Raw genomic sequence first — 23,371 nt, 5'->3', positions numbered from 1 at the left:
TCTGGCAGGCACTTAACTGTGGCTGCTCAGAACTAATGTATCTGGGGCTGCTTGAGCAGGGGCTGAGGTCAGAGGCAGGGAGTGAGCTCTCCATCATCCTTGACTCAGACCCAGCTCCGCAGGAGCTCCATGGTCATCCCTGGAGCTCATGTGGAGTGCAAGGTCCGGGAGTGGGGGCGCTGACAGAAACAAATCTGGGGGGATCAGCCAGGGTCAGCAGGGGACAGAGATCATGTCTTTTAGAAGAATGTGGGCTTCCTGACCTATAGAAGGGCAGCTGTTCACCCCCTGCAGATGATAGCAGGGATGATCTGGGGCCTCAGGAGCGCCTTTCTGTTGTTGGCCCAATAATTCAAAGACAGGAACTGGGCAGTGCCCTTAATATCTGCGAAGACTTCCACATTCAGTGTCTCTTACAAGGAGTGAGTTCCAGGATACAGGGGGTATCTAAGGCCAGGTATGGTGGCGTGCATTGGTAGTCTCAACTACTTAGGAGGCTGAGCCCAGGAGTTCCAGGCTGCAGTGAGCTGTGATTGCACCTAAGAAAGCCACTGCACTCCAGCCAGGGCAGCATAGTAAGAACCTATCTCTAAAAAAAAAAAAAAAGAAAAGAAAAGAAAAGAAAGAAAAAGAGGTATCTAAGGAGTCTGTCACAAAATCCTCCTTATTTTCAGTCTTAGAATTTGCAAGGAGGGTTACATCTGTGCTATGTAAGTCCCCTTCAATGTAAGCATGTTCATTTCCCAAAAGGGCCTTACTCATTTAGAAAACTTTAAAGTAAACAAGGGAGGAAGCTAGTGCTTCATTAATCAGTATAAAGTAATGTTGCTTCATTGAGCAACTATGTTATTTTATTCTGACATTTATCTTTGATGCACTGCTCCATATTCTGAACACTAGACACATAATCTGCAAGAATCACTTGATTAGAGATGAGGATGTGGGCTGTGCATTCCCTTTGGGATTCTCAATTCTAGCCTACATCAGAATCACCTACAGGGCTTGTGAAAACAAAGCTTGCTGGAGCCCAGCCCTGGAGTTTGATTCAGCAGGTCTGGGATGGGGCCCATCATTTGCAGTTCCAGGTGATGTTGATGGTTCAGGGACCACACTTTGGGGACCCAATGTTCTAGTGAAAATTATTTGATACTTATTAGATCACATGAAAAATAACCCAGGACAAGGGCCAGGCAAGTTTCCTCTCTTTTAGAATTCTCATCAGAATCCCTGGAGATTCTGAAACATGCTTTAGCTGGAATTCCTCTGGGAGTCCTGACCTGGCACCCTCTATGGGGTGTTGAAGCCCTGAGCTGGCCTGAGAGGAGGGCCAAGCAGAGATGTTGTCTGCTGTTTCCTGTGTCCTCTTCTCTCTTCTCTTGCTGGAGGGCTAGAATGTCCCACTTGTGGGGACAGTGAATGGGTGACTGGTTAGGAAGCTCCGCGGGCTTAGGAGAGTGAATGTGAAAGTGGTCAGGCTCTCTGGATCAGAACGCCAGCTCTGTTTTCCACTAGCTGCGCAATGGTGAGCAGGCTGCTCATCTTGATATCCTCAGTCCCCTATCCCCAAAATGTGGCTCTCAGTAGCGTGTTCCCAGGGCTATTGAGGGATATGAGGGAACGTGATCATGAGACACCTCATTGCTCTGAGGCATCTTGATCCCTGCTCAGCAGTCACCATTGCTGTCAAAAGTGCTTGTGGTCTCTGCCCACAGAGCAAGGAAGATGTACATCGATGTTGCTCACTTTATAGAACTCTTACTTCTCGGGGAAACTCTTCTCCATCCTAGCCCACGTTGGGCAAGTTATTTTTCTGCCAAGTGGGTGTGAAGGGCAGGGGAACACTGAAGCTGGTGAGGATGGCAGCAGGGTTCATTGTTGGCAATTATAGACCCCATGGGAGACCAGTGACCAGAGCTTCTTGGGAAACCCCTAGAGGCTGGACGGAACCAGCAAGAACCCCAGTGCCCCCTCTACGTAGAAGCAAAGAGTTCACTTTGCAATGTTCAGAAATGGCATAATGTTAATATTCTCCAAGCAGTTGGCAAATAGATTGTGGTTAATTTTTTTTTTAAACAGCTTACACAGAAAAACTGATTGCCTCTGAAAATTCATGGAGTGTCAGTTTTGTCCACCAGCATGCAGAACAATATTAACATTTAAAGCACTGAAAACAATTAAGAAAATGCGTCAGCTGTACTGAGAGCAGAGTGCAGAGATTCGGGGTGGCAGTGGGAGTGTATTGGCTTCTAACATTTCCTGTCTTTGCTCTCTCTTTCCCTGTTATTTTTTGTTTCTTGGTGGCCAGAACTCTCCATGCCTTCCGATCAGTACGAGTTGCAGCTTCAGAACAGCATCCCGGGCCCCGAAGGAGACCCAGCCCGGCCGGTGGCTGTCTTGGCCCAGGACACGTCGATGGTCACTGCACTGCAGCTGGGACAGAGCAGCCTCGTCCTTGGCCACAGGAATATCCTTTTCTTGGGCTTGTGTGTTCTTAGGCATGGCGGAGCTGCTGTTTGGAAGTCAAGTCTTTTTTTCCCTGAAAGCTCGGCAGGGCTAAAAATAGCCGTTTCCCCTCAACGGTCTGAAAATCAGAAAGAACTGAAATAGCACTGCTGAGTGGAATTGCTCACGGCTGTGGGTGACTCACCCCAGAGGCTCCCAGCGGTGGGAGGTGATGGCAGGAGCTGAGTGTCGTTCCTCGTCTCCAGAAACTTCTCCAGTACCTGCAGCCTTCTCAGAGGGGGCCTGGCGGGGGCTGTTTCCATACTAGCATAATGGAGTGTTGATGCCCCAGACTTGTTGTTGTGTCCTGTGCGGTCTCCAGTGTCCCTCACAGAGATTCCCCTTTGCTAGTGTGGCAAGCGCAGTGTGGCCTTTGATTCTGAAAAGTGCCTTTGCTCTACGTGGCCTAAGCCAGGGGAGTTTTCATCCCCTCTTCTTCTCTCCATGTGATGTCTTGATGATCAGGATTCTGAGCCAAGCTGAAACTGGCCAGCCAGCTGGTTTATTTGCTGTCATATGTCTTGCCCCTTAATTCAAAATTCAGGTATTCGCATGCAAGGTGCTTCTAGGTTACCCAACAGCACTATCTACGTGGTCGAACCTGGATACCTAGGTGAGTGTGGGCCTCCTGGGCCCTCATGGATGCTGCTCAGTTGTGACTATATGAGTTTAAAAAATAGAAAAGAAGCAATAGCTCCACAGAAAATGCTTCCCTCTGGCCAGCTCTGCCACTTGCTATGACCATCATTGCCCAGGGCACTCACCAGCCCTTCCCTGTTTGGTGTAGAAATAGGTAGAATGAGCCAAGCCAGGCAGGCGGCAGGCTCAGCAAGGAGAGAAACAGAACCGGGTAGAGTGGTGAGGGGCTTGCACCCTCCTGGTTTTCATACCACGGCTTTGCCCAGACCTGACCATTGCTATGGACATTTAGAGGTTGGGGCCCAGTGTCAGCTCAATTATAGAGGGACCCTAAGGTGACATGACAGTAGGCAGGTACCTTAGCAGGGAGGGGAGGAACATGATGATGATATTGAAGGCAGGCATTTTCTCAGACAGAGCTTCTTTTGCGGGAAGGTGTCCTGGCAGAGGGAATTGCTTAGGCAATGGTGTGGAAGTGAAAAAGTACACTGGGCATCCCAGGGGACAGCAAGAGTGCTGTGGTATCCTGTGTTGCAGGGGACTGAGAACCTGGGAGGGCAGGGATGACTCATATGGCAAGAGTGCTCAGTGACAGGCTTCAGAGTGTAGACCTGCTGAGATGAGTCCAGGGTTGGTCCTGGCGAGGTCAGCTCAGGACTGAGAGTTCAAAGCAGAGAACTGTTGTGGATTCAGAGCGTAGACCTGCCGAGGGTTCAGAGCGTAGGCCTGCTGTGTGTTGAGGACAGAGTTGCTGGATTCTGAGTGTAGACCCACTGAGGACGGGAATGAGTTTGAAAGAGCCTTGATCAGACAGAGTGGGATGAGTCCAGGGTTGGTCCTGGCGAGGTCAGCTCAGGACTTAGGGCTGAAGGTGGCATTAGACTTCTGCTCCTCAGCAGAAGGAGGAGGCCAGGGCCATAGTTGTGGGGCCTCCAGGTGGGTGGTGTAGGGCCTGCAGGTGGGTGGTGTGGGGCCTGCAGGTGGGTGGTGTGGGGCCTCCAGGTAAGTGGTGTGGGGCCTGCAGGTGGGTGGTGTGGGGCCTGCAGGTGGGTGGTGTGGGGCCTCCAGGTAAGTGGTGTGGGGCCTGCAGGTGGGTGGAGTGGGGCCTCCAGGTAAGTGGTGTGGGGCCTGCAGGTGGGTGGAGTGGGGCCTCCAGGTAAGTGGTGTGGGGCCTGCAGGTGGGTGGTGTGGGGCCTGCAGGTGGGTGGAGTGGGGCTTCTCGTGTGGATGCTGAGGGCCCCTGTGCTGAGGGTGGTGGTCCCATCCTCCTCCACCCTGCTGCCCCTGAGGCCTGAGTGCTCAGGCTCCCTCTGCCTGTTTTAGGGTTCACTGTTCACCCTGGTGACAGGTGGGTGCTGGAGACCGGCCGCCTGTATGAAATCACCATCGAAGTTTTTGACAAGTTCAGCAACAAGGTCTATGTATCTGACGTGAGTGCCTGTTCAGGTCCTGGCTGGGGGGATGAGGTGGGGTCGTTGTCTGACGCGGCTGCTGAAGAGCAGCCCCCAAAGCAACAGGAGCCCCCATGCAGGCTGACCGAGGAGGGGTCCTGTTTCTAGTGGCGCTCCCGGGTCTGTGGGAAACAGTGCTGAGGCATCCCGGGGCATCTCCAGAGCCTGTGAGCCTGCACACCGGCCTAGCTGCAGAGCCCCTGTTGGGCTGGAGGGCAGAGGTTGCCACAGCGGCAGGGCTCCAGGATAGGAGGATAGGGAGGAGGTCTCTGCCCGCCACTCTCCCGCCCCCTTTTCCCCAAGCTGGGGACCTCAGAGAATCCATTCTCCTCCTGCCCTGCAGAGAGTCACGGAGCACGTCCTGGCTTTCTCCGTACTGGGTTCCAGAAATACCTGGAACCCTGCATGACAGAGGCCGAGCTCAGCACACTTTCTGGTTCTGGAAGGGGGTGTCAGACAGATGAGGAAATGTGCAGGAGTCTTGGCTGCCTCTCTGTCCCCTGTGAGAAATTCCAGGCTCGTCAGTGAGCACCCCCAGGCCCTTCAGGTGGCGTTGGAGGTTTTAGAAGAAAAAGGCGAGGTTCCTCTCGGTGTCCTTGAAGATGTCGTTGCTTTGCTCATGTTATCAAACAAGGGCTGGGATGGTCACCATTTGCAGTTAGCTGTAGGGGACGTGATGTCCTTTTTTTTGTATTTACTGGTTCCTTCTTGAGACCTCGGTAGGCTCCAAGCTGCCCCAGGTGCCACACGGGGGGATGAAATCGAAGCGCAGGTCATCAGGCCATGCAGGGAGGGTGGCCTCGGTGGGGACAAAGGCCATAGTGATCAGACCTCTGTTCCAGGGCCCAGCCCACCCGTCTGCTGCTAGTGGAGGCTGCTGAGCCCCAGGGGGCCCCTTGGCCTGGCCTGGCTGCTGGTTTCAGTCCTGTAGCTTCGTGCCCAAATTCTGACTTTCTGGAGTCACCCCAGAAGCACCTCTCTCCTGTCCTGCCTCACCTTCCAGAACATCCGAATTGAAACTGTGCTTCCTGCTGAGTTCTTCGAGGTGCTCTCGTCCTCCCAGAATGGGTCATACCATCGCATCAGGGCACTAAAGAGGGGACAGACGGCCATTGACGCGGCCCTCACCTCTGTGGTGGACCAGGCAAGTTGGTGTCTCCCCTGCGTCGTGCCTTGTCCTATGAAGCCACCCTCTGTAGGCAGAAATGTCAGCCCAGGAGGGCCATGAGTCCCAGGGAGTTGGGCCACCTGCATCCCTTTTCCTGTTTGGGCTACTTGCATCCTGGGTTCTATTTTCCTTAGTCTTTAAGAAGCCCATCAGCCTTAGGGAGCAGAGCTTTGCTGATTGGAAAATCGGCCTGGGTGTTCCCATTTTCCTACCCCGCACAGAAGGCCTCCTGGCCTGGAAGGGGCAGCAGGCTGTAACAGGAAGAAATGCCCATGCACCGACAGTGACTCCTGCCAGAGTCGGCCTCCTCAGCTCTGGGGGCTGGGCGGGCTGCTTTAGCTCTCAAGCCTCAGTTTCCCCATCTGTAAAGTTGGGGGGGACACCACATCCATCCTGCTGGGGTGCCCTGAGGATTCAGTCAGGCAGCATTTCCAGAAAGCACTTCACAAAGCCATCCCCGTGGAGAAAGAGAGGGCAGCAGGGTGTCTGGCACCTTCCTCTCCACTCTTCCCCCAAATCCACCTTTGTGACCCGATCCCCAGGGAGGGGTGGGGGTCCGGTGACTGGGAAAGACTGATGATGACATGGTTGTCATGGTTACGTGTGGCACCCTCACCCCTTGTAGGATGGAGGGGTCCACATACTACAGGTGCCTGTGTGGAACCAGCAGGAGGTGGAAATTCACATCCCGATCACCCTGTATCCCAGCATCTTGACATTTCCGTGGCAACCAAAGACGGGCGCCTATCAGTACACAATAAGGGTACGTGAGACCCCTCACCTCTGCGTGCATTCCTTTGGTGTTTTCATGGGATTGTGGCTTTTTGTCCATTCTATTACTTTTAGTATTACTCTCTAGTGGTTGTGGAGAATTTTAAATCACAGTCTTTATGTTTCCTGAGGTTTCCATCATAGCAATGCATTCTGGTAATTAGGAAAAAAAACAACAAAAACCAACAATGAAAAAATTGAGAATAAGGCAGGGTGCGGTGGCTAACACCTGCAGTCCCAGCACTTTCGGAGGCTGAAGTGAGAGGATTGCTTAAACCCAGGAGTTTGATACCAGGCTGAGCAACATAGGGAGACCTCCATCTCTACTCAAAAAAAGGAAAAAAAAAAAAAAAGAGAAAAAATAGAATAAAGAAAACCTGGAATACAGTTTTGAATTTCATTAATGTTTATTTTTCTAAAAATCTTTTTTGAAAGCATTATATATATACACACACCCTTAGAGAAAACATTAAAATTTAAGGGATAAGTATCTCCAACCTCATCACATGGGATGGATCACTGCTCTGACCTTAATACTTCCACCTGGCATTAGCCAGCAGGACTCGCCTTAGACAGGGCTCGAGTCCTCGTGGTCAGTGCAGGGCACATCAGTCCTGCTGTCCCATGGAGTGGTGACAGGTGTCCTGTCTGTGCACTGGCACCGGCTCTCTGCTCAGGTGCGTCACCATCCTGGCCCCTTGGGTTTTGGGGTTGTTTCCTCTGGTCTGGGAGCAGAGGTGCAGTCGCTGACCTCCCAGCAGACAATGAGGAATGGGCAGGGGTGTGTGCTGGGAGCTTGTGTCTGGTCAGGGAGGCAGCATCCTGCAACTGGCTCGGTGACCAAGGGTTCGTCCCACTCCAGCCTGAGCTCTGGGAGGTGCCACCAGGTTCTGGGGCCTCTGTCATGGGCGTGTGTGTTTGTGTGCATCGGTCTCGAGGTCCCCAGAATATGAGGACAGAAACGAGACAGGACAAAGAGGGTGAGGGCAGGGGGAGCCTCTAGCCAGACCCTAGCTGATACCACATTTTTCCCTGCTGTGGGCATCGACCTTGTGTGTCAGTGAGGAAGTGGCCACAGGTGTTTTAGAGCCTGTGAGAGTGTGTATGTGTTTGAGTGTATTGGTGCGAGTATATATGTGTGAACGTATGTATGTGTGAGAAAGTTTGTGTGCGTGTGAGGATAAGCTGGTGGGAGTAGGTGAATGTATGTGAGTGTACCGTGGGTGCGAATGGTGAGTGGGTGAAAGCGTGAGTGTGAAGGTAAATGTAAGTGAGCATGTGTACGAATGAGTAGGTGTATGAGTGTGCACTGTGGGTGTGAGTGGTGAGCATGTGAGCATGAGAGTAAATGAGTGTGAGCAGGTGAGTAGGTGTACGTGGTGTGCACTGTGGATGTGAGTGGTAAGTGAGCATGAGTGTGAGGGTGAGTGTGTGAGTGAATGGGCAAGTAGCTGTACATGTGAGTGTGAATGGTGAGTGTGTGCATGGGTGAACCCATGAGTGTGAGGATAAATGTGTATGAGTGTGAGTACGTGCATGCACACGCACGTGTCTCTGACCCTCTGACTTCCCCAGCAGGCTAAGGGTGGGTGGCTGGTCCTGTGATGGCTTTTCCTCCGCAGGCCCACGGTGGCAGTGGGAACTTCAGCTGGTCTTCGTCAAGCCACCTGGTTGCCACAGTTACTGTCAAGGGCGTGATGACCACAGGCAGTGACATCGGGTTCAGTGTGATCCAGGCACATGATGTGCAGAACCCACTCCATTTCGGTGAGATGAAGGTGAGATCTCAGGGCCAAGACACCCCCTGGGAGGCTCGGATGGTGGTCTCCAGCCGCCCCCTCTGAGCAAGCCTCGACTTCACTCAGAAACACCCCCAACCTTGGGTCCTGTACTTAGGAGCTCAAGCCCCAGCCCTTCCCTTAGGAGCTCACGGCCATGTCAGGAAGATGGACAGGATGTCTCACACCAGCCAACAATGGGCCCAGAAAGGCCAGTGTCCACAGAGCTGGGTTTCTGGAGGGGAGATAATCTAAGAGCCATTCTAGAAAATTCCCCAGACCTGAAAGATAGTAATCTCCATTTGGAAGGTCCACCAAGCACTGGGTTGTAAACTCACAGTGAAAGGGCACCACCAGGCTCCGAGAGACCAGGCCAGACTCCTCTCTCTTCACTCACCTTTGGGTACAAAGGCAGGTGTTCCCTGCACAGGTCCCCACACCTGGCTTTTGGCCCTAAGTGACATGGGGCCATCTCACTTCACAATGGTGGCAGGTGGTGGTGGTCACAGCTGAGCCTCTGCCAGCCCCACCTGTGGCCACTGACCCCAGGCCATACTTGCCTAGTGCTCTGACCTCAGCCCCTTTATTCCTTCATTTGGGGCAGGAAGGGGTGTCCCATGGAGTCCAGCTGCAGCCTGCTCTTACAGTATTGGGGACAGGGATGGATAGGCTGGCCAGTCTTCCGCTTGAGACCCAGAGCCACCTCTATCTAAAGTGAGGCCTGATTCTCATGGAGAGGGGGCTTCACACAGGCCCTTGAGATGAAGCATGAGGTCCAGCGTTGGGATAAACTGGGACCCCTGTCCTCTCACCCCAGTTTCCCCTTGTGCCACTGTTCGCCCAGCAGCCCAGCCAGATCCTGAGGACAGTTCCTCAGGAGGCAGCGTGCGTTCTGGGTAGAACCTGGCTTCCGGGGCCAGCTGGCGGGGCTTGCACTCAGACCCAGCATGCTGTAAGGGAGCCTGCCCTTTCCCTTCAGGCCAGTGCTTCGCCAGGTGAGTGGGGTTGAGGAGAGCCCCTCCTTAACCAGGAGGTGGGATTCTAGTTTTATGCAATCATGGCTGTGCTTACCTCTCTCCTGGCTCCAGCCGCTCTACCAGTCCATCTGATGAGCCAGACATTCAGAACACATCCCACATCTCACTGGTCCTAACACGCCTGCCCTGGCTCAAGCTGTCGCATCTCTCTCTGGGGCTTTCCAACAGCCTCCTCACCACACTGCTCACCTGGCTGCTGATCGGTACACAGAAGCCAGGGTGGTGGGGACCTCTGAGGTCCCCCAGCTCAGCCACAGTAAACACTGATTCCTCACCATGGTTGCCAGCCCCGTCTCTTTCCACTGCCCCTGCACAGTGCACTTCAGCACACTGGACTCCATGTTCCTCCAAGGTGCTGGCCTGGTAGGTGCTGCAGGGCCTTTGCACGCACCATCCCTTCACCCAGAGTGTTCTTCCCCCAGGCTTTGCCTGGCTGCCTTGGCTGTGGCTCTCAGATCTGAGCTCCTAGGCCACTCCTCAGAGAGGCCTCCCCTGCTCTCTGTCCCTGAATCACCCCACTGCCCGTGACAGGCTTCTCACAGATGTATCCTCAGTGCTCAGCACACAGCAGCACTTAGGATATCCGAGCAACAGGCCCTGCCTCTCCTGTGGAGGCAGCTGAGCCCAGGCCATGCCCCTGTCTTCCAGGTGTATGTGATCGAGCCCCACAGCATGGAGTTTGCCCCGTGCCAGGTGGAGGCACGTGTGGGCCAGGCCCTGGAGCTGCCCCTGAGGATCAGTGGCCTCATGCCCGGCGGGGCCAGTGAGGTGGTCACCTTGAGCGACTGCTCCCACTTTGACTTGGCTGTCGAGGTGGAGAACCAGGGTGTGTTCCAGCCACTCCCAGGTAAACCAGCGCTGCTGAGCAGGTGCCAGATACTGGGATTGGGGCCAGATTGTCTGGGTTCTCAGCATGGACCGCCAGATTCCCAAAGAGAGGGCTTGAGGCAGCAGAGGGGCTGCAACATAAGGAATGGCAGTTGTCTCCTGATCCACAGTCTGTTCCTGTCTGGCCTGGATCTTGCCCACCGTGTGACTTCGGGAAATCAGTGGCCTCGCTCAGCCTCAGTTTTCACATCTCTAAGCTGTGTGTCATCTACATAGAATCACATCAAAGTGCCTATTTTAGTCCCTGGAATGCAGTTGGTATTCAGAATGCGTTGTCAATAGGGGTTTGGTTAATTCTAGGGTCCTCTCACCTGTGACAGGCAAGGCCCACCCATCTGTTCTCTGCCGCATCTGCTGTGGGATTTTGATGGTGACATTGGTGGAGTCTGACTGTGATAGTTTATCCAGTGTCAGTCCTGTCAGGACAGGACAGGCACTTTGCATGCCTGACCTCCTTAGGACTTTACAACCACCCTAGGAGAAGGATCTGTTATTGGCCCATGTGACAGATGAAGAAACTGAGGCTGTGTAGCTGTAGCTGCCTAAGGTCACACATGGCCTGGGACAGGGATGGGGTGCAGATCTGGGCGTGGCTGACACTGACCCTGTGGCTTTACTCACCTGTGAAACGGGCCTTAAAGATAAGGAAAGGAAGGGCTTCCTCTCTGATTTGCCGAAGAAGAAGACCAAAGGACAGGTGAACTATTGAATAGGAGTAAGATTTGGGCAGAGCTTTGGAGGTTAACAGGGACACCATTTGGTGAGCAGGGGCGCCTGTACCAGGGCCCAGAGGTGGGCAGTCCGTGGTGCCTGTGCACGTGGAGGACTGGGAACAGAGGACCCGTTGAATCACAGCGTGTTTTGGAGGGCTTGGACCTAGTGTCCAGGCAGTGGGGAGCCACTGAAGGTTTTTGAACAGAAGAGCGATGTGATCCTGGCAGCGTTTAGGAAGCTTTATTGGCAGAGGTGTTTGTAGGATCGCCTGTGGTGCCAAGTGGCTGTGCGTGCAACTGTAGCTGTAATTACGTGCAGAGCTTTTGCAGTTTGAAGCTGCACAGAAGGAGGCCAGTATCTCTGAAAAATCCCTGAGCATACTGCATCCAGGAGAAACTAAGCTCATGAAGTCTACAGTGTCATTGCCAGGTAATCATTTAGGATGGAGGAAAAGTCTTGCACGTGGGAGAGGCCCGCTGACAGCAGGACACGAACCACTCCCCTGCACTGCCTGCCACAACCGTCCTGGAGGGAGTCTGCAGGGTGCTGCTCAGGCATGGGCTCAGGTCCCCGGGAGGAAAGTTCAGGGCTTGGAGTTCCACAGGCCTGGGTCTGAGCCACTCCACTCCCTTGCTGGCTGTATGATGCTGGTGTGCTGCCTAGCCTCTCTGAGCCTTGGGTTCTTTAACTGTAAAATGGGATGACAGCTCTTGCTTATTGTGATGGTTACAAGTGAATATCCCTCAGCACGATGCAGGGCGTTTCTCCAGGAGTTTGACTTCTGAAAACAGCAGTCAAGATGGGAATCCTGTGGTGTCAAATTTCTCTTAGGAAGTGCCTTGTACCGCCCCTGGTGTGGAGTGTGCATGGTAATGTGTAGGGAGGTGTGTAGGGCCCAGGCTGTATGAAAATATGTATCTTAGAAACCTGGGCTCTGTCAGGACAGAGATGCTCACCCCACAGAAACCCATGGGGCTCAAGAGCAGGTTGGATCAGCAGGTTGACCTGTCCCTATAATACCCACCCTGGAGCTTACTCAGCTAAAGAAACAAATTTGGTCCCATGTTAGGTAAACTCCCTCTGCCACCTCCCAGGCTCAGAGCACAGGTAGCCAGACTCTGATCATGGCTCTGAGGAGGAGCCCTGGTAGCCCTGGCCCAGGCTGGCCTCCCCTCTGTGGCTCCCTCTGCTTACTGCAGTTGGACTTGGCGGTCCCATTTCTGCCTTGCCCTCTTGGGTGGCATCTTCTTGAAAGCCCCTGGGCTGTGGGCACTACTGTAACTCTCTCAACACGGTGCTGGCATAGACAGACTTACAGAATAGAATACTGAGCCCAGATAAAAACCTGCTCGTACATGGTGAAATGATTTTTGGTAAGGGTGCCAAGACTGTCCAATGGGGAAAGGACAGTCTATTTACCAAATGGTGCTGGGACAACCACGTATCGACATGCATAAGAATGAAGTTAGACCCTTCCATAACTCCAAACACAAAAATTAAGTCACAGTGGATCAAAGACCTAATATAAAATTGAAAACTATAAAACTTCTAAAAGAAAACTGGAGGAAAGCTTCAGGACATTGGAATTTGGCATTTTTTTTTAGGTATAACACCAGATGCACAGGCTACAAATTAAAAATAGACAAACTGGACTACAACAAAATAAAAAAGTTCTATATATCAAAGGACACCACAGAGTACAAAGGCAACCTACAGAATGGGAGAAAACATCTGCAAATTGTATAAGGGGTTAATATCTAGGATATGTAAAGAACTCCTACGTGTCAGCAGCAATAACACCAATAACCCAATCAAACAGTAGGCAGAGGACTTGAATAGATATTTGTCCAAAGCTGATACACGGACAATAAGCACACGGGAAGATGCTCAACATCACTCATCATCAGAGTGGTGCAAATCAAACCCACAATGAAAAGCACTACACTCCTTAGGATGGCTGCGATCAAAACAACAGAAAACAGCAAATGTTGACAAGGATGTGAAGACACTGGAACTCTTATGTGCTGCTGGTGTGTATGTGAAAGGTGCTGCTGCTGTGGAAAGCAGTATGGTGGTTCCTCAAGAAAGTAAACATGGAGTTACCGTATGATCCAGCAGGCAATCCTGCATCTGGGTGCACATCCAAAGGTGTTGAAAGTACGATCCGAAAGAGGTATTTGTGCACCCATGTTCATGGCAGTGTTATTCACAATAGCCAAAAGGTGGAAATAACCCAGGTGTCCACCGTTGGAAGAATGGATGAACACAATGAGGTCTATCCATACAGTGGAATATTATTCAGCCTTAAGAAGGAAGGAAATTCCGACCCATGCTGCAACATGGAAGAACCTTGAAGACATCATGCTCAGTGAAGTAAGCCAGTCACGAAAGGACAAATACTCTATGATCCCACTTGTATGAGATACCTAGAGTAATAAAATTCATGAAGATAGGAAGTATAATGGTAGTGGCCAGGGACTGGAGTGAGGGGAATTGGGAAGTTACTGTATATTGGGTGCAGAGTTTCAGTTTTGTAAGTTGAAGAGTTGTGTGGATGGATGGTGGCGACATCCATTCACAGGCTGCATAAATGTACTTAATGCCACTGAACTATACACACAAAAGGTGTTATGGTGGGAAATTTTATCTTAGTTGTATTTTATCAGAATTTTTTTAAAACTTTTTTTTAAGATAAAATTTTAGGCTGGGCACGGTGGCCCATGCCCTTAATCCCAGCATTTTGGGAGTCCGAGATGGGAGGATTGCTTGAGCCCAGGAGTTTGAGACCAGCCTCAGCAGCATAATGGGACCTTGCCTCTACAAAAAAATGAAAAAACTATCCTGGTGTGGTGGCTCACTCCTGTAGTCCCAACTAATCAGGAGGCTGAGGTAGGAGACTCACTTGAGCCTGGGAGGTGGAGGTTGCAGTGAGCCAAGATTGTGCCACTGCACTCCAGCCTGGGCGACAGAGCAAGACCCTGTCTCAAAAAAAAAATAAAAATTTTAAAATTTAATAATGGCAGGGATGTAGGGCAGCCGTTGGCAGCAGTGTAAATTGACACAACCACTTTGGGAAGATATTTAACAACAGCAACCAACAATTTCTACAGCTAAACACATGCACGCCCTGCAGCCTAGCACTTCCTCTCTTAGGGACGCACGCAACAGAAATGCCCAGGTGTGTCCCCCAAGAGGAAGGCACCCAGATGTTTACAGCAATACCGTGTAGCACAGCCCCAAACTGGAAGAAACCCAGATGTGCACCATAGCATGGGTCAGTCTATTGCTCTATATTCATGCAGCAGAATCATATGGAGAATGTGGACAAAGGATCTTCACGGTGTGACCAATGAGAAATCCCATGAACACTGCTGAGTTGAGGAAGCCAGGCACAAAAGAGTTATGCCCATGGTTCCCTTTATGGGAACAATACCAAGCATGATTCAGTTGTGCTGGTAGGCGCCAGGGGGGCGGTTTTCCTTTAGGGAAAGGCCAAATACCAGAAGGGTTTCCAGGAGATTCTGGGGGTACAGATAATATTCTATTTGTTGATGTGGGTGCTGCATATAGGGTGGGTCCAGTATGTGGAAAAATCATTGTGAATTATATACTCATGTGAATTAAATATTATTTATTTTTCTTTAACTGAGTTTTGCTCCCTCGTTGCCTACGTGGGAGTGCAATGGTGCGTTCTCGGCTCACTGCAACCTCCGCCTCCCAGGTTCCAGCAATTCTCCTGCCTCAGCCTCCCAAGTAGCTGGGATTACAGACAGGCGCCACCACACGCGGCTAATTCTGTATTTTAATAGAGACGGGATTTCTCCATGTTGGTCAGGCTAGTCTCAAACTCCCGACCTCAGGTGATCCTCCCACCTCAGCCTCCCAAAGTGCTGGGATTGCAGGTGTGAGCCACCATGCCCGGCCGTGAATTAAACATTTTTATTTTTCTTTTGAGACAGAGTTTCACTCTTATTGCCCAGGCTGGAGTGCAATGGTGCGATTTCGGCTCACTGCAACCTCTGCCTCCTGGGTTCAAGTGATTCTCCCGTCTCAGCCTCCGGAGTAGCTGGAATTACAGGCATGCGCCACCACACCTGGCTAATTTTTTGTATTTTTAGTAGAGACAGGGTTTCTCCATGTTGGTCAGGCTGGTCTTAAACTCCTGACCTCAGGTGATCCGCCCATCTCAGCCTCCCAAAGTGCTGGGATTACAGGCGTGAGCCACCGTGCCTGGCTGAATTAAATATTTTTTTAAAAATCAGGGCCGGGTGCGGTGGCTCATGCCTGTAATTCCAGCACTTTGGGAGGCTGAGGGGGGTGGATAATGAGGTCAGGAGATTGAGATCATCCTGGCTAATATGGTGAAACCCCATCTCTACTAAAAATACAAAGAATTAGCTGGGCGTGGTGGCGCATGCCTCTAATCCCAGCTACTCGGGAGGCTGAGGCAGGAGAATCGCTTGAAGCCGGGAGGTGGAGCTTGCAGTGAGCTGAGATAGCACCACTGCACTCCAGCCTGGGAGACAGAGTGAGACTCTATCTCAAAAAAAAAAAAAAAAAAAGAAAGAAATCAGATCAAGGATCAAGCCTGGGATGAAAGAGGGGGCCCCCAGCCTGTTGTGCCTTCCCCACCAAAGGTGATTTCAGGGCTGGGCACAGTGGCTCACACCTGTGATCCCAGCACTTTGGGAGGCTGAGGCAGATTGATCACTTGAGGTCAGGAGTTCAAGACCAGCCTGGCCAACATGATGAAACCCCGTCTCTATTAAAAAAAATACAAAAATTAGCCGGGTGTAGTGGTCCATGCCTGTAGTCCCAGCTATCTGGGAGGCTGAGGCAGGAGAATCACTTGAACCCCGGAGGCGGAGGTCGCAGTGAGCCAAGATCATGCCACTGTACTCCAGCCTGGGCAACACAGCGAGACTCCATCTCAAAAAAAAGAAAAAAGTGATTTCAGGGTGACCATCTAGTTCTCTCCTTTCTGTAGGGAGGCTGCCGCCAGGCTCTGAGCACTGCAGCGGCATCCGGGTAAAGGCCGAGGCCCAGGGCTCTACCACGCTTCTTGTGAGCTACAGACACGGCCACGTCCACCTGAGTGCCAAGATCACCATTGCTGCCTACCTGCCCCTCAAGGTGAGCCAGGGGCCCTGCCCTTTACCACCCCCCTGCCCACTCCTTCCCAGATGCAAATTACCCATTTGCTCTGACGAATTTGCATGATAAACCCGATTCCTTCAAAATAGCTTTTGGCACAGCTTCCTCTCCCATGATTTCTGGCTGAAAGCAGGATTCATGTGGAAGGAGCAGAGCCTCCCTGATGGGGCAGTGGTTGTGGGCATCTCTGTGGTTACGCGAGACAGCGCTTGGCAGGCTTGGCAGGACACCGACCTGCCAGCCTCTCCCAACGAAGGTAGGAGTGTGGGCTGCAAGGGCTTCAGAAGTGTGTTCAGCAAGGGTCAGAACAGGGGAGTGCTTCTGCTCCACTCCAGAGCTAACCTTCAGGGTCCCCACAGAGCCCTAGAATTAGGACAGCGGCCGTGTGGTATGGCAGATGCTGAGGCCTCCAAGACTGGGGTCAGAGAGGATCTGCCCTGGCCTAGTGTGCATCCATCCTGCTCCCCATCTGAGGACAGTGGTGGCCACGGCCTGTGCGGAGCAGACCACATAGCCTCAGTGTCCATACCACCCTCCTGAGCTGAGACCAGCCTGACCCCCACCCACTCTTGGGCCTTACATTCCCTGCCTGTAAAATGGGACTGAGACAGCTCTTGCCTCATGGGGTCGTGATGAGGATTTGCTGAGCTCACAAATGGAATGAGCTCAGAACACAGTCTAGGGGGTAGTGCAGGCTCAGGAAGGGTTAGTTATTATACACGGATAAAAAAGAACTGGGCCTTCCTCTGGGGTGGGTGTGAAGGCTCCGTGCGAGGGCTGCCATGCAGGAGGCTGCTGACTAATCATTCCTTTCTTTGAACTCTGCCTAGCTTGCAGGAGGCGCAGAGAGGGTTTGTTGATGGGGAGTTCCTGCTCCTCCTTCCAGGGAGGGCTGGAGAGCAGTCCTAGGGGAGCCCCAGACTCCCTGGCTTGGTCAGGCAGTCCTTGCATTTTTCTGCTCCCAGTGTCAGCCTTGAAGACAGCTCCGGTCCTCATGGTTTGTCCCATTTTTTTCTTCCTCTCAGGCATTCATTGGAAGCAAGCCTGGTGATGTTAGGATTTCTTTTTCTTTTTCTTTTATTTGTTTATTTTTTTTGAGACAGAGTTTCACTCTTGTTGCCCAGGCTGGAGTGCAATGGCGCCATCTCTGCTCACCGCAACCATTGCCTTCCAGGGTTAAGCGATTCTCCTGCCTCGGCCTCCTGAGTAGCTGGGATTACAGGCATGCACCACCATCCCCGGCTAATTTTGTATTTTTAGTAGAGACAGGGTTTCTCCATGTTAGTGAGGCTGGTCCCGAACTCCCGACCTCAGATGATCCTCCCACCTCAGCCTCCCAAAGTGCTGGGATTACAGGCGTGAGCCACCGTGCCTGGCGATGTTAGGATCTTTTATCTCTGAACCCCTAGCCCTGGGTTCAGTGCCTGGCACAGAGCAGACATCAACCAAGGGTGGTTTTGTTTAGAATGAACGTGTGAGGAAATGTATCCAAGGTCACCCAGCCAGGGCAGAAGCCAAGGCCTCCTGACCTCCAGAGCAAACATAACAGACACTTCTCAGATGTCCATTAGTGATCAGAGGCCTAGCCCTGCTCCTCATCCTCCACACATTTGTTCCTTTAGCACACAGGCATGAATACCTACCTACTTGTGCAATCCCTTCTGCAGGCCCTAGAGTTGCACCAGGGCAGAGAACACAGAACCTTTGTCCCCATGAAGTGACATTCTGGCAAAGAGAGGTAGAGATGACCATAAACAAAGCAAAGAATGTATTTTACCTCTGCTTGCCATGAAAAAAGTAGAGCATGAAGGGGTGATGGGGGTGGAAGTTTAAAATGAGGAGATCAAGACCTGCCCCCACATCCCAACTCAAGCACAGCACTGCAGCAGGTGAGAGTGTCAGAGAGCAGAGTGGAGAGAGTTGAAATCCCCGAGCACAGCAGGCATTCTGGGGTTGCCCTGCGCACCTTCTGGGAGCTAGAGCATTTCACCAGGCACCTGGAGAGGGGTTCTTCAGGGCCCCTCCTGGCTCTGGATTATCAGGGTGTTTGGCTGGAGCAGCAGAAGCCAGAAGCTGAGCTCACAGTCCTGAGCTGGGATGTAACAATGAAGATAAGGTAGACATGTCCCTCAGGGAGGTGGCTTCCTGATTGGACAGATTATAGAGAAAAGTGGATATGGATCTCTTCTCCTTTCATCTGTCTCCTTCCTAGTTAGCAGGTAAGATCAGGTTTATTTACAAGGAACAAAAGCCAAGTGACAGGGACTTAACCAATAGAGGAATTGATGTCTCTGTTGCACGTGAGGAATATTTGGAATATTTGGGCTTTGACATCCGCTGAGGAGCCTGCACAATTCATGAGCATCCTTCATCAGCTGCGTTGTTAACCTGTCTCCTTGGCACAGGGTTCCATGATACTTTCATGCCTAAGGGAGAGAATTAAACAGGAAGGTGATAATTCCTCATCCTCCAGTTGTTAATTGTAGAACACACAGCTCCTTCGCACAGTTCTTTCACTTTGGGCTGGTCATGAAAATGTCTTTGGCAAGATACACAGTGGCCTGCTTTGCCCATAGTGGGGTTTTATTGGTTGTGGCCATGAGATGTGGGTAAGAGCATGGGATCAAGAGTCAGAACAGACCCGGGCCCACCAGCTGGGTTAGCTTGGTTTAGTGTCTTCATCTGCTGGGATTTATCCTTGCTGTCTATAAAGTGGGGATGACAGTTAATAATCATAACAGTTTCTAACAGCAGGGGCCATTGATTGAGCGTGTGCTAGTCACATATTCAGGTCTTTCATTCCAGCCCCTGAATCACAACAGTAGCACCGCGAGGTAGGCATTATCATTGTACCCATTTCACAGGATGGGGAAACAGCCTTGTAGACATTAACTTGTTTAAGGTCCCACACTAGCTTCACTCCAGTGGGGACAGAGAAGCAAATGATGGTATATCCAGTGATGTCTGAGGGGCAGAGATGAAGAGTTGAGCTGGAAAGGAGGTGACGGGGGAAGGGAGACCCTGCTTCAGACAGGCTCAGCAGAGGCCTGCCTGAGGAGGTGACGCTCAGGCAGAGGCCTGAGTGGCATGCAGAACTGGGAGTTCTGAGAGGAGCAGAGATGAAGGCCCTGAGCATACTTAGTGCTTCTCCTGCAGGAAACAGGGGCCACGCCTGGCTCTGTTGAAGGTCGAGTCCGGGGATGGGTTACAGCAGGGGCACCGCGGGCTCCTTGGAATTGTTTGTGTGTGAGCACACATGTGCAGGGAGGGATGCCCAGAGACAGTCGATAACCTATATCAGATCCCAAAAATGTTCATATTCAAAAACAAAGTCAAAAGGACAGAATTCTCATTTGAGAAGTCATAGTCTGTTCAGGTCGCCTTAACGAAACACCTTGGACTGGGTAGCTTATAAACAACAGAAATTTCTTTCTTGCAGTTTAGGAGCTGGGAAGTCCAAGGTCAAGGCACCAGCAGATTTTGGTGACTGGTGAGGGCTTCCTTCCTCATAGATAGCCATAATTTGGATGTTTGTGTCCCCACAAAATACATATGTTGAAATGCTGACCCCCACAGCAATGGAGCTGAGGCCTTTGAGGGGTGATTAGATCATGAGGGCAGAAGCTTCACGGCTGGGATTAGTGCCCTTATAAAAGAACCCAGAGAGCTAGCATGACCCTTCCACCGCGTGCAGGGGTGGAAGAGGTTTTTTTGTGGGTGGGGAGGGAATATTTTTCTTATAAGGTTTTTCCTTCCTCATGTGGTTAAGATCATGCCACAGACAGAGAAGGAAACAGACACACCGTACCCTCCACAAGCCTATAGCATGATCAGGGAGACCTCTCAGGCCATGAAGCTCCTTCAGGGTGAGGAGCACCAGGTGAAGTGGGGGCCAGAGAAGAGTCGCCTGGGCTGCAGGTTGGGGCTGGGTTGGGGAGGAAGCAGGGCTTTCTGGAGGCCAGTGTGCTGAGCCCTGCAGTGTGAGGAGGGGTCGCCTAAGTGAGACAAGGACAGGAGGGTAGCCTCTTCGAAGGCCTGGGGACAGCTGAGCCTGGTTCTCTAGAAGGATGCCACTAGTCTGAAGCTGGGACTGGAGCCAGGTTGAGAGAGCCCAAGTCCCAGGACAGAAGCTGAGCCTGTATTCCAAGGGCCGTGGGTGCGTGGAATAGTTTAATGCACAAGGGACAGGGTCAGGTCTGTGTCTTAGTGAGGGACACATGGGCAGCTGTTTGAAGGGAGAGTAGATGGGTCTAGCAGGGAGCAGACTGACAAGTGAGGACTTGGCAGTCACTGCAGTGGGACCCTCTGCAGTGGGAGGTTAGCCCAGCTGGGCAGGGATTCAAGGAGCAGGACTGCGGGACCCCTCAGAGTGAATCCCTCCTCTCCGCACCCCTGCTGTGTGTCACTGGAGGGAGGAGTCCTCCTGTGGAGTCTCCACGTCTTCCTGGAGGTTGGCTGGGAATGACACCCTGTTACATAGAATCTAAGCACTGCCATTGCCCACACCAGGAGGCCATGGGGCCCTGGGCACCACTGGTTGCCCTAGGCCATGGAGGAAATGAGAGCTTTGTGTGAAATACTACTTTAATTCTTCCTTTGTTTACTGGGTACTTTAAGGACTCCATAGTTTTACTTGCCAACTCACTTTCATTCAACAAAGAATTGCTGAGCACCCGCTATGTGCCAGGCATGGTTCTAGGTGCCACAAAACTCACCCTCGAAGCTCGTGCATACGTGGTGCAAAGTATGGGAAGCCCAGCGGCTCAGAAGGAAGGGAATGGACCACTGGCAATGATGCCAGCAAGGACACCACAGGCTGCATCTCCTTTGGTCACCTGGTGGATATCTCTTTAGGATGGTTTTATGCTTTTTACAGCAACATGATTGTGATCAAACGGCACCATCAGATTTGTATCCTGCACTTGTAGATCTTTGCGAAGACTGCTTTGGGGGCCCGCATAAGGTTCCATCACTGGGAAACACCATGTGTACTGAGCCCCTTGTGCTGGATTGTAGATTATTGTTGGTTATTTGCTGTGGGAAATAATAGTGTGATGAACATCTGTCTGTACATTGACATGTTTCTCTCCATTGTGTTGTTAGGTTAGGTTCCAGATGGGGAATTCCTGGGTTCCAGGGCTGTGGGTATTTTCAAGGCTTTTACCAGATTGTTTGACGAAAGAGGCAAATCCATGTACACCCTCCAGCAGTCTGTCAGAGTGAGGGCTTAATTCTATCTACACCCCATTCCTCTGGATCTTTGCAATGATCCCTGTGAGTGCTGCAGATGACGAGAATGAGTTTCAAACAGGAGATGGGGCTTGCCTGACCACCAGCCCCCACAAGCGGGGTGAGGATGTGGGGCTGGGATGCCCGGCTCCTGCCCGTGCTGCCTTAGAAGAATGCCAAGTCTTCTGCCTCTTCTGTCCCCAGGCTGTGGATCCCTCCTCTGTTGCCTTGGTAACCCTGGGCTCCTCAAAGGAGATGCTGTTTGAAGGAGGTCCCAGACCTTGGATCCTCGAGCCGTCCAAATTCTTCCAGAACGTCACCGCTGAGGACACTGACAGCATCGGCCTGGCTCTCTTTGCCCCCCATTCCTCCCGGAATTATCAGCAACACTGGATCCTTGTGACCTGTCAGGCCTTGGGTGAGCAGGTGAGTGGGCAGCTGCTCCAGACCCTCCTTGCCCTAAGGCAGGGGTGGAAAATGACTCTCTCAGTATTGTTTTATTTACTCCTTGGAGTAACGCTGAGAGACAGCCACTCCTATTGTACCCATTTTACAGACAGGCAAACTGAGGCGTGGTGAGGTGGAATGTGACTCAATGAACGCCAGGCAGGTGTGGCAATAGGGACCTCCCGCTATGCCAGCTTTCATAGAGTAGGCCAGTTGGGTGGCTTGCCACCTCCATGGGCTTCAGCATCCCCCACTAACCAAACCAGAGCTGGAGGCTTTGAGTTCGGGGGTCACAAGTCCAATGTCTCCAGGGTCGTAAATGAATGAGGCTGTAGACCCAGGTTTGACACATCTTGTTGGTTCTTGAGGATAACCTGGAAATCACAATATTTTTTTTTGTATAGGTAATCTCTTAAGTTTTTTAATGCTGAAAACCAAAAGCTGAGGAGGCTGAGGGGACCAGACAAAACACATGTGTGACCTGAATCCCCACATGCTGGCTGGAGGGCTTCTTGCTGTTCAGGCGCCTTGGGGCCTGACACTCCTTCCCCGGGGAGGGTGAGCTGAGAGCTTGTGGGGCTTCTGGTGGGCATCTACTGCTCTGTTTCCAAGGCAGGAAGCCCAAAGCAAAAGGGGTATTCGGCGGGAATCAGGAAGATGGGAGAGAGCCCATTTCTTTGGGACGTGAAGGGTATTTCCTGCATGTGTGCAGGGCAAAGAATGTCAGTTGGCAATAAAACGCACATGCATGCCTCCCACGGTGCCCTTATGGTATCAGCCATGCCACAGCTGCCCTGGTATGGCCAGAAAAGATGCCTGGTGATAGGTTCCACTCACCAGTGGGGTGGTTTTAGAAAAACAATAAAACAACAAGAACAATAACAGCATCATAATAAATAATACAATAAGAAGAATAAAATTCCTCATGAATTAAGTTGGATATATTTCTTATCCCTGGCATGACCCCACCATCCCTGTCCCCTCTCAGGGCTGTAAGAATGTGACCTCCAATTGGGGTTACCTCTAGGGCCCTCCCAATCCATTGCTCTGTGGCTCCCTCACATGCGGCACCAGGTGCAGACAGAAAGCCTGTGTGGAGTCACGGAGGACACTGCCCTTGGTCCTGCCTTATGGTCAGGAGGGGTAGGGGCTCGTGTCCTCCATCAAGTGCATGTTATCTGAGGAGGCTGAGGGTGCTACCTCAAGATGGGCCCTGAGCCATGGTGCTCCAAAAAAGAGGAGGCCAGATATGACTTCTGAGGTCCCAGCTCTCCAGGCAGACAGGTTTCCCTCTTTTCTTGCACCATGGATTTCCCTCTCTGCAGCAGCCCCTGGAGCTGCAGAGCATGAGCAGGCGGAGGGCAGGCCCTGCCTCCAGGCTGCAGCTCCTCCTGGGCGTTGTCCTGCAGAGCTCCTATCTGATTCGCTTGCCCTGTCATCATTCTGCAGCATGCACTTCCCACGTCTGTTCCTCGTTCCATGGGTGTTTTCACCTCCATATGGACTCCTCATTGAAGCATCCTTGAACTTGTGAATTTTCTAATGCAACCGTGGGGTTTTCCCAGGGTCCTGGGAAACCATGAAGCCTCACCG

General features: G+C 51.9%; 1 protein-coding gene across 5 annotated transcripts in view, besides 1 other annotated feature; it reads left to right on the top strand.

Moving 5' to 3' along the window:
* The window catches only part of NUP210 (nucleoporin 210), a 104,088-nt gene that overhangs the window by 38,296 nt on the left and 42,421 nt on the right, over positions 1-23,371 (top strand). For all 5 annotated transcript variants that reach the window (XR_007095651.1, NM_024923.4, XM_011533538.3 and 2 more), the window contains exons 7-15: positions 2,306-2,464; positions 3,047-3,115; positions 4,465-4,571; positions 5,596-5,736; positions 6,386-6,523; positions 8,154-8,309; positions 9,995-10,193; positions 15,936-16,081; positions 21,536-21,757. Coding sequence is in view for 4 of the 5 variants with exons in the window: in NM_024923.4 (NP_079199.2) it covers positions 2,306-2,464; positions 3,047-3,115; positions 4,465-4,571; positions 5,596-5,736; positions 6,386-6,523; positions 8,154-8,309; positions 9,995-10,193; positions 15,936-16,081; positions 21,536-21,757 (1,337 nt within the window). In the remaining variant the exon portion in view is untranslated. The remainder of the gene's footprint in view (positions 1-2,305; positions 2,465-3,046; positions 3,116-4,464; positions 4,572-5,595; positions 5,737-6,385; positions 6,524-8,153; positions 8,310-9,994; positions 10,194-15,935; positions 16,082-21,535; positions 21,758-23,371) is intronic.
* Positions 7,435-7,936: an enhancer, noted in NCBI's record as "H3K27ac hESC enhancer chr3:13415591-13416092 (GRCh37/hg19 assembly coordinates)". NCBI's record gives its function as "activates a minimal SCP1, AML or CMV promoter by ChIP-STARR-seq in primed H9 embryonic stem cells {active_cell/tissue: H9 hESC(primed)}" and the evidence as "EXISTENCE:reporter gene assay evidence [ECO:0000049][PMID:30033119]".

This window comes from Homo sapiens, chromosome 3 (assembly GCF_000001405.40).
Source record: "Homo sapiens chromosome 3, GRCh38.p14 Primary Assembly".
NCBI classification, from domain to species: domain Eukaryota; kingdom Metazoa; phylum Chordata; class Mammalia; order Primates; family Hominidae; genus Homo; species Homo sapiens.
Note: the sequence above shows the minus strand (reverse complement) of the source record. Positions and strands in the feature narration are given on the sequence as shown.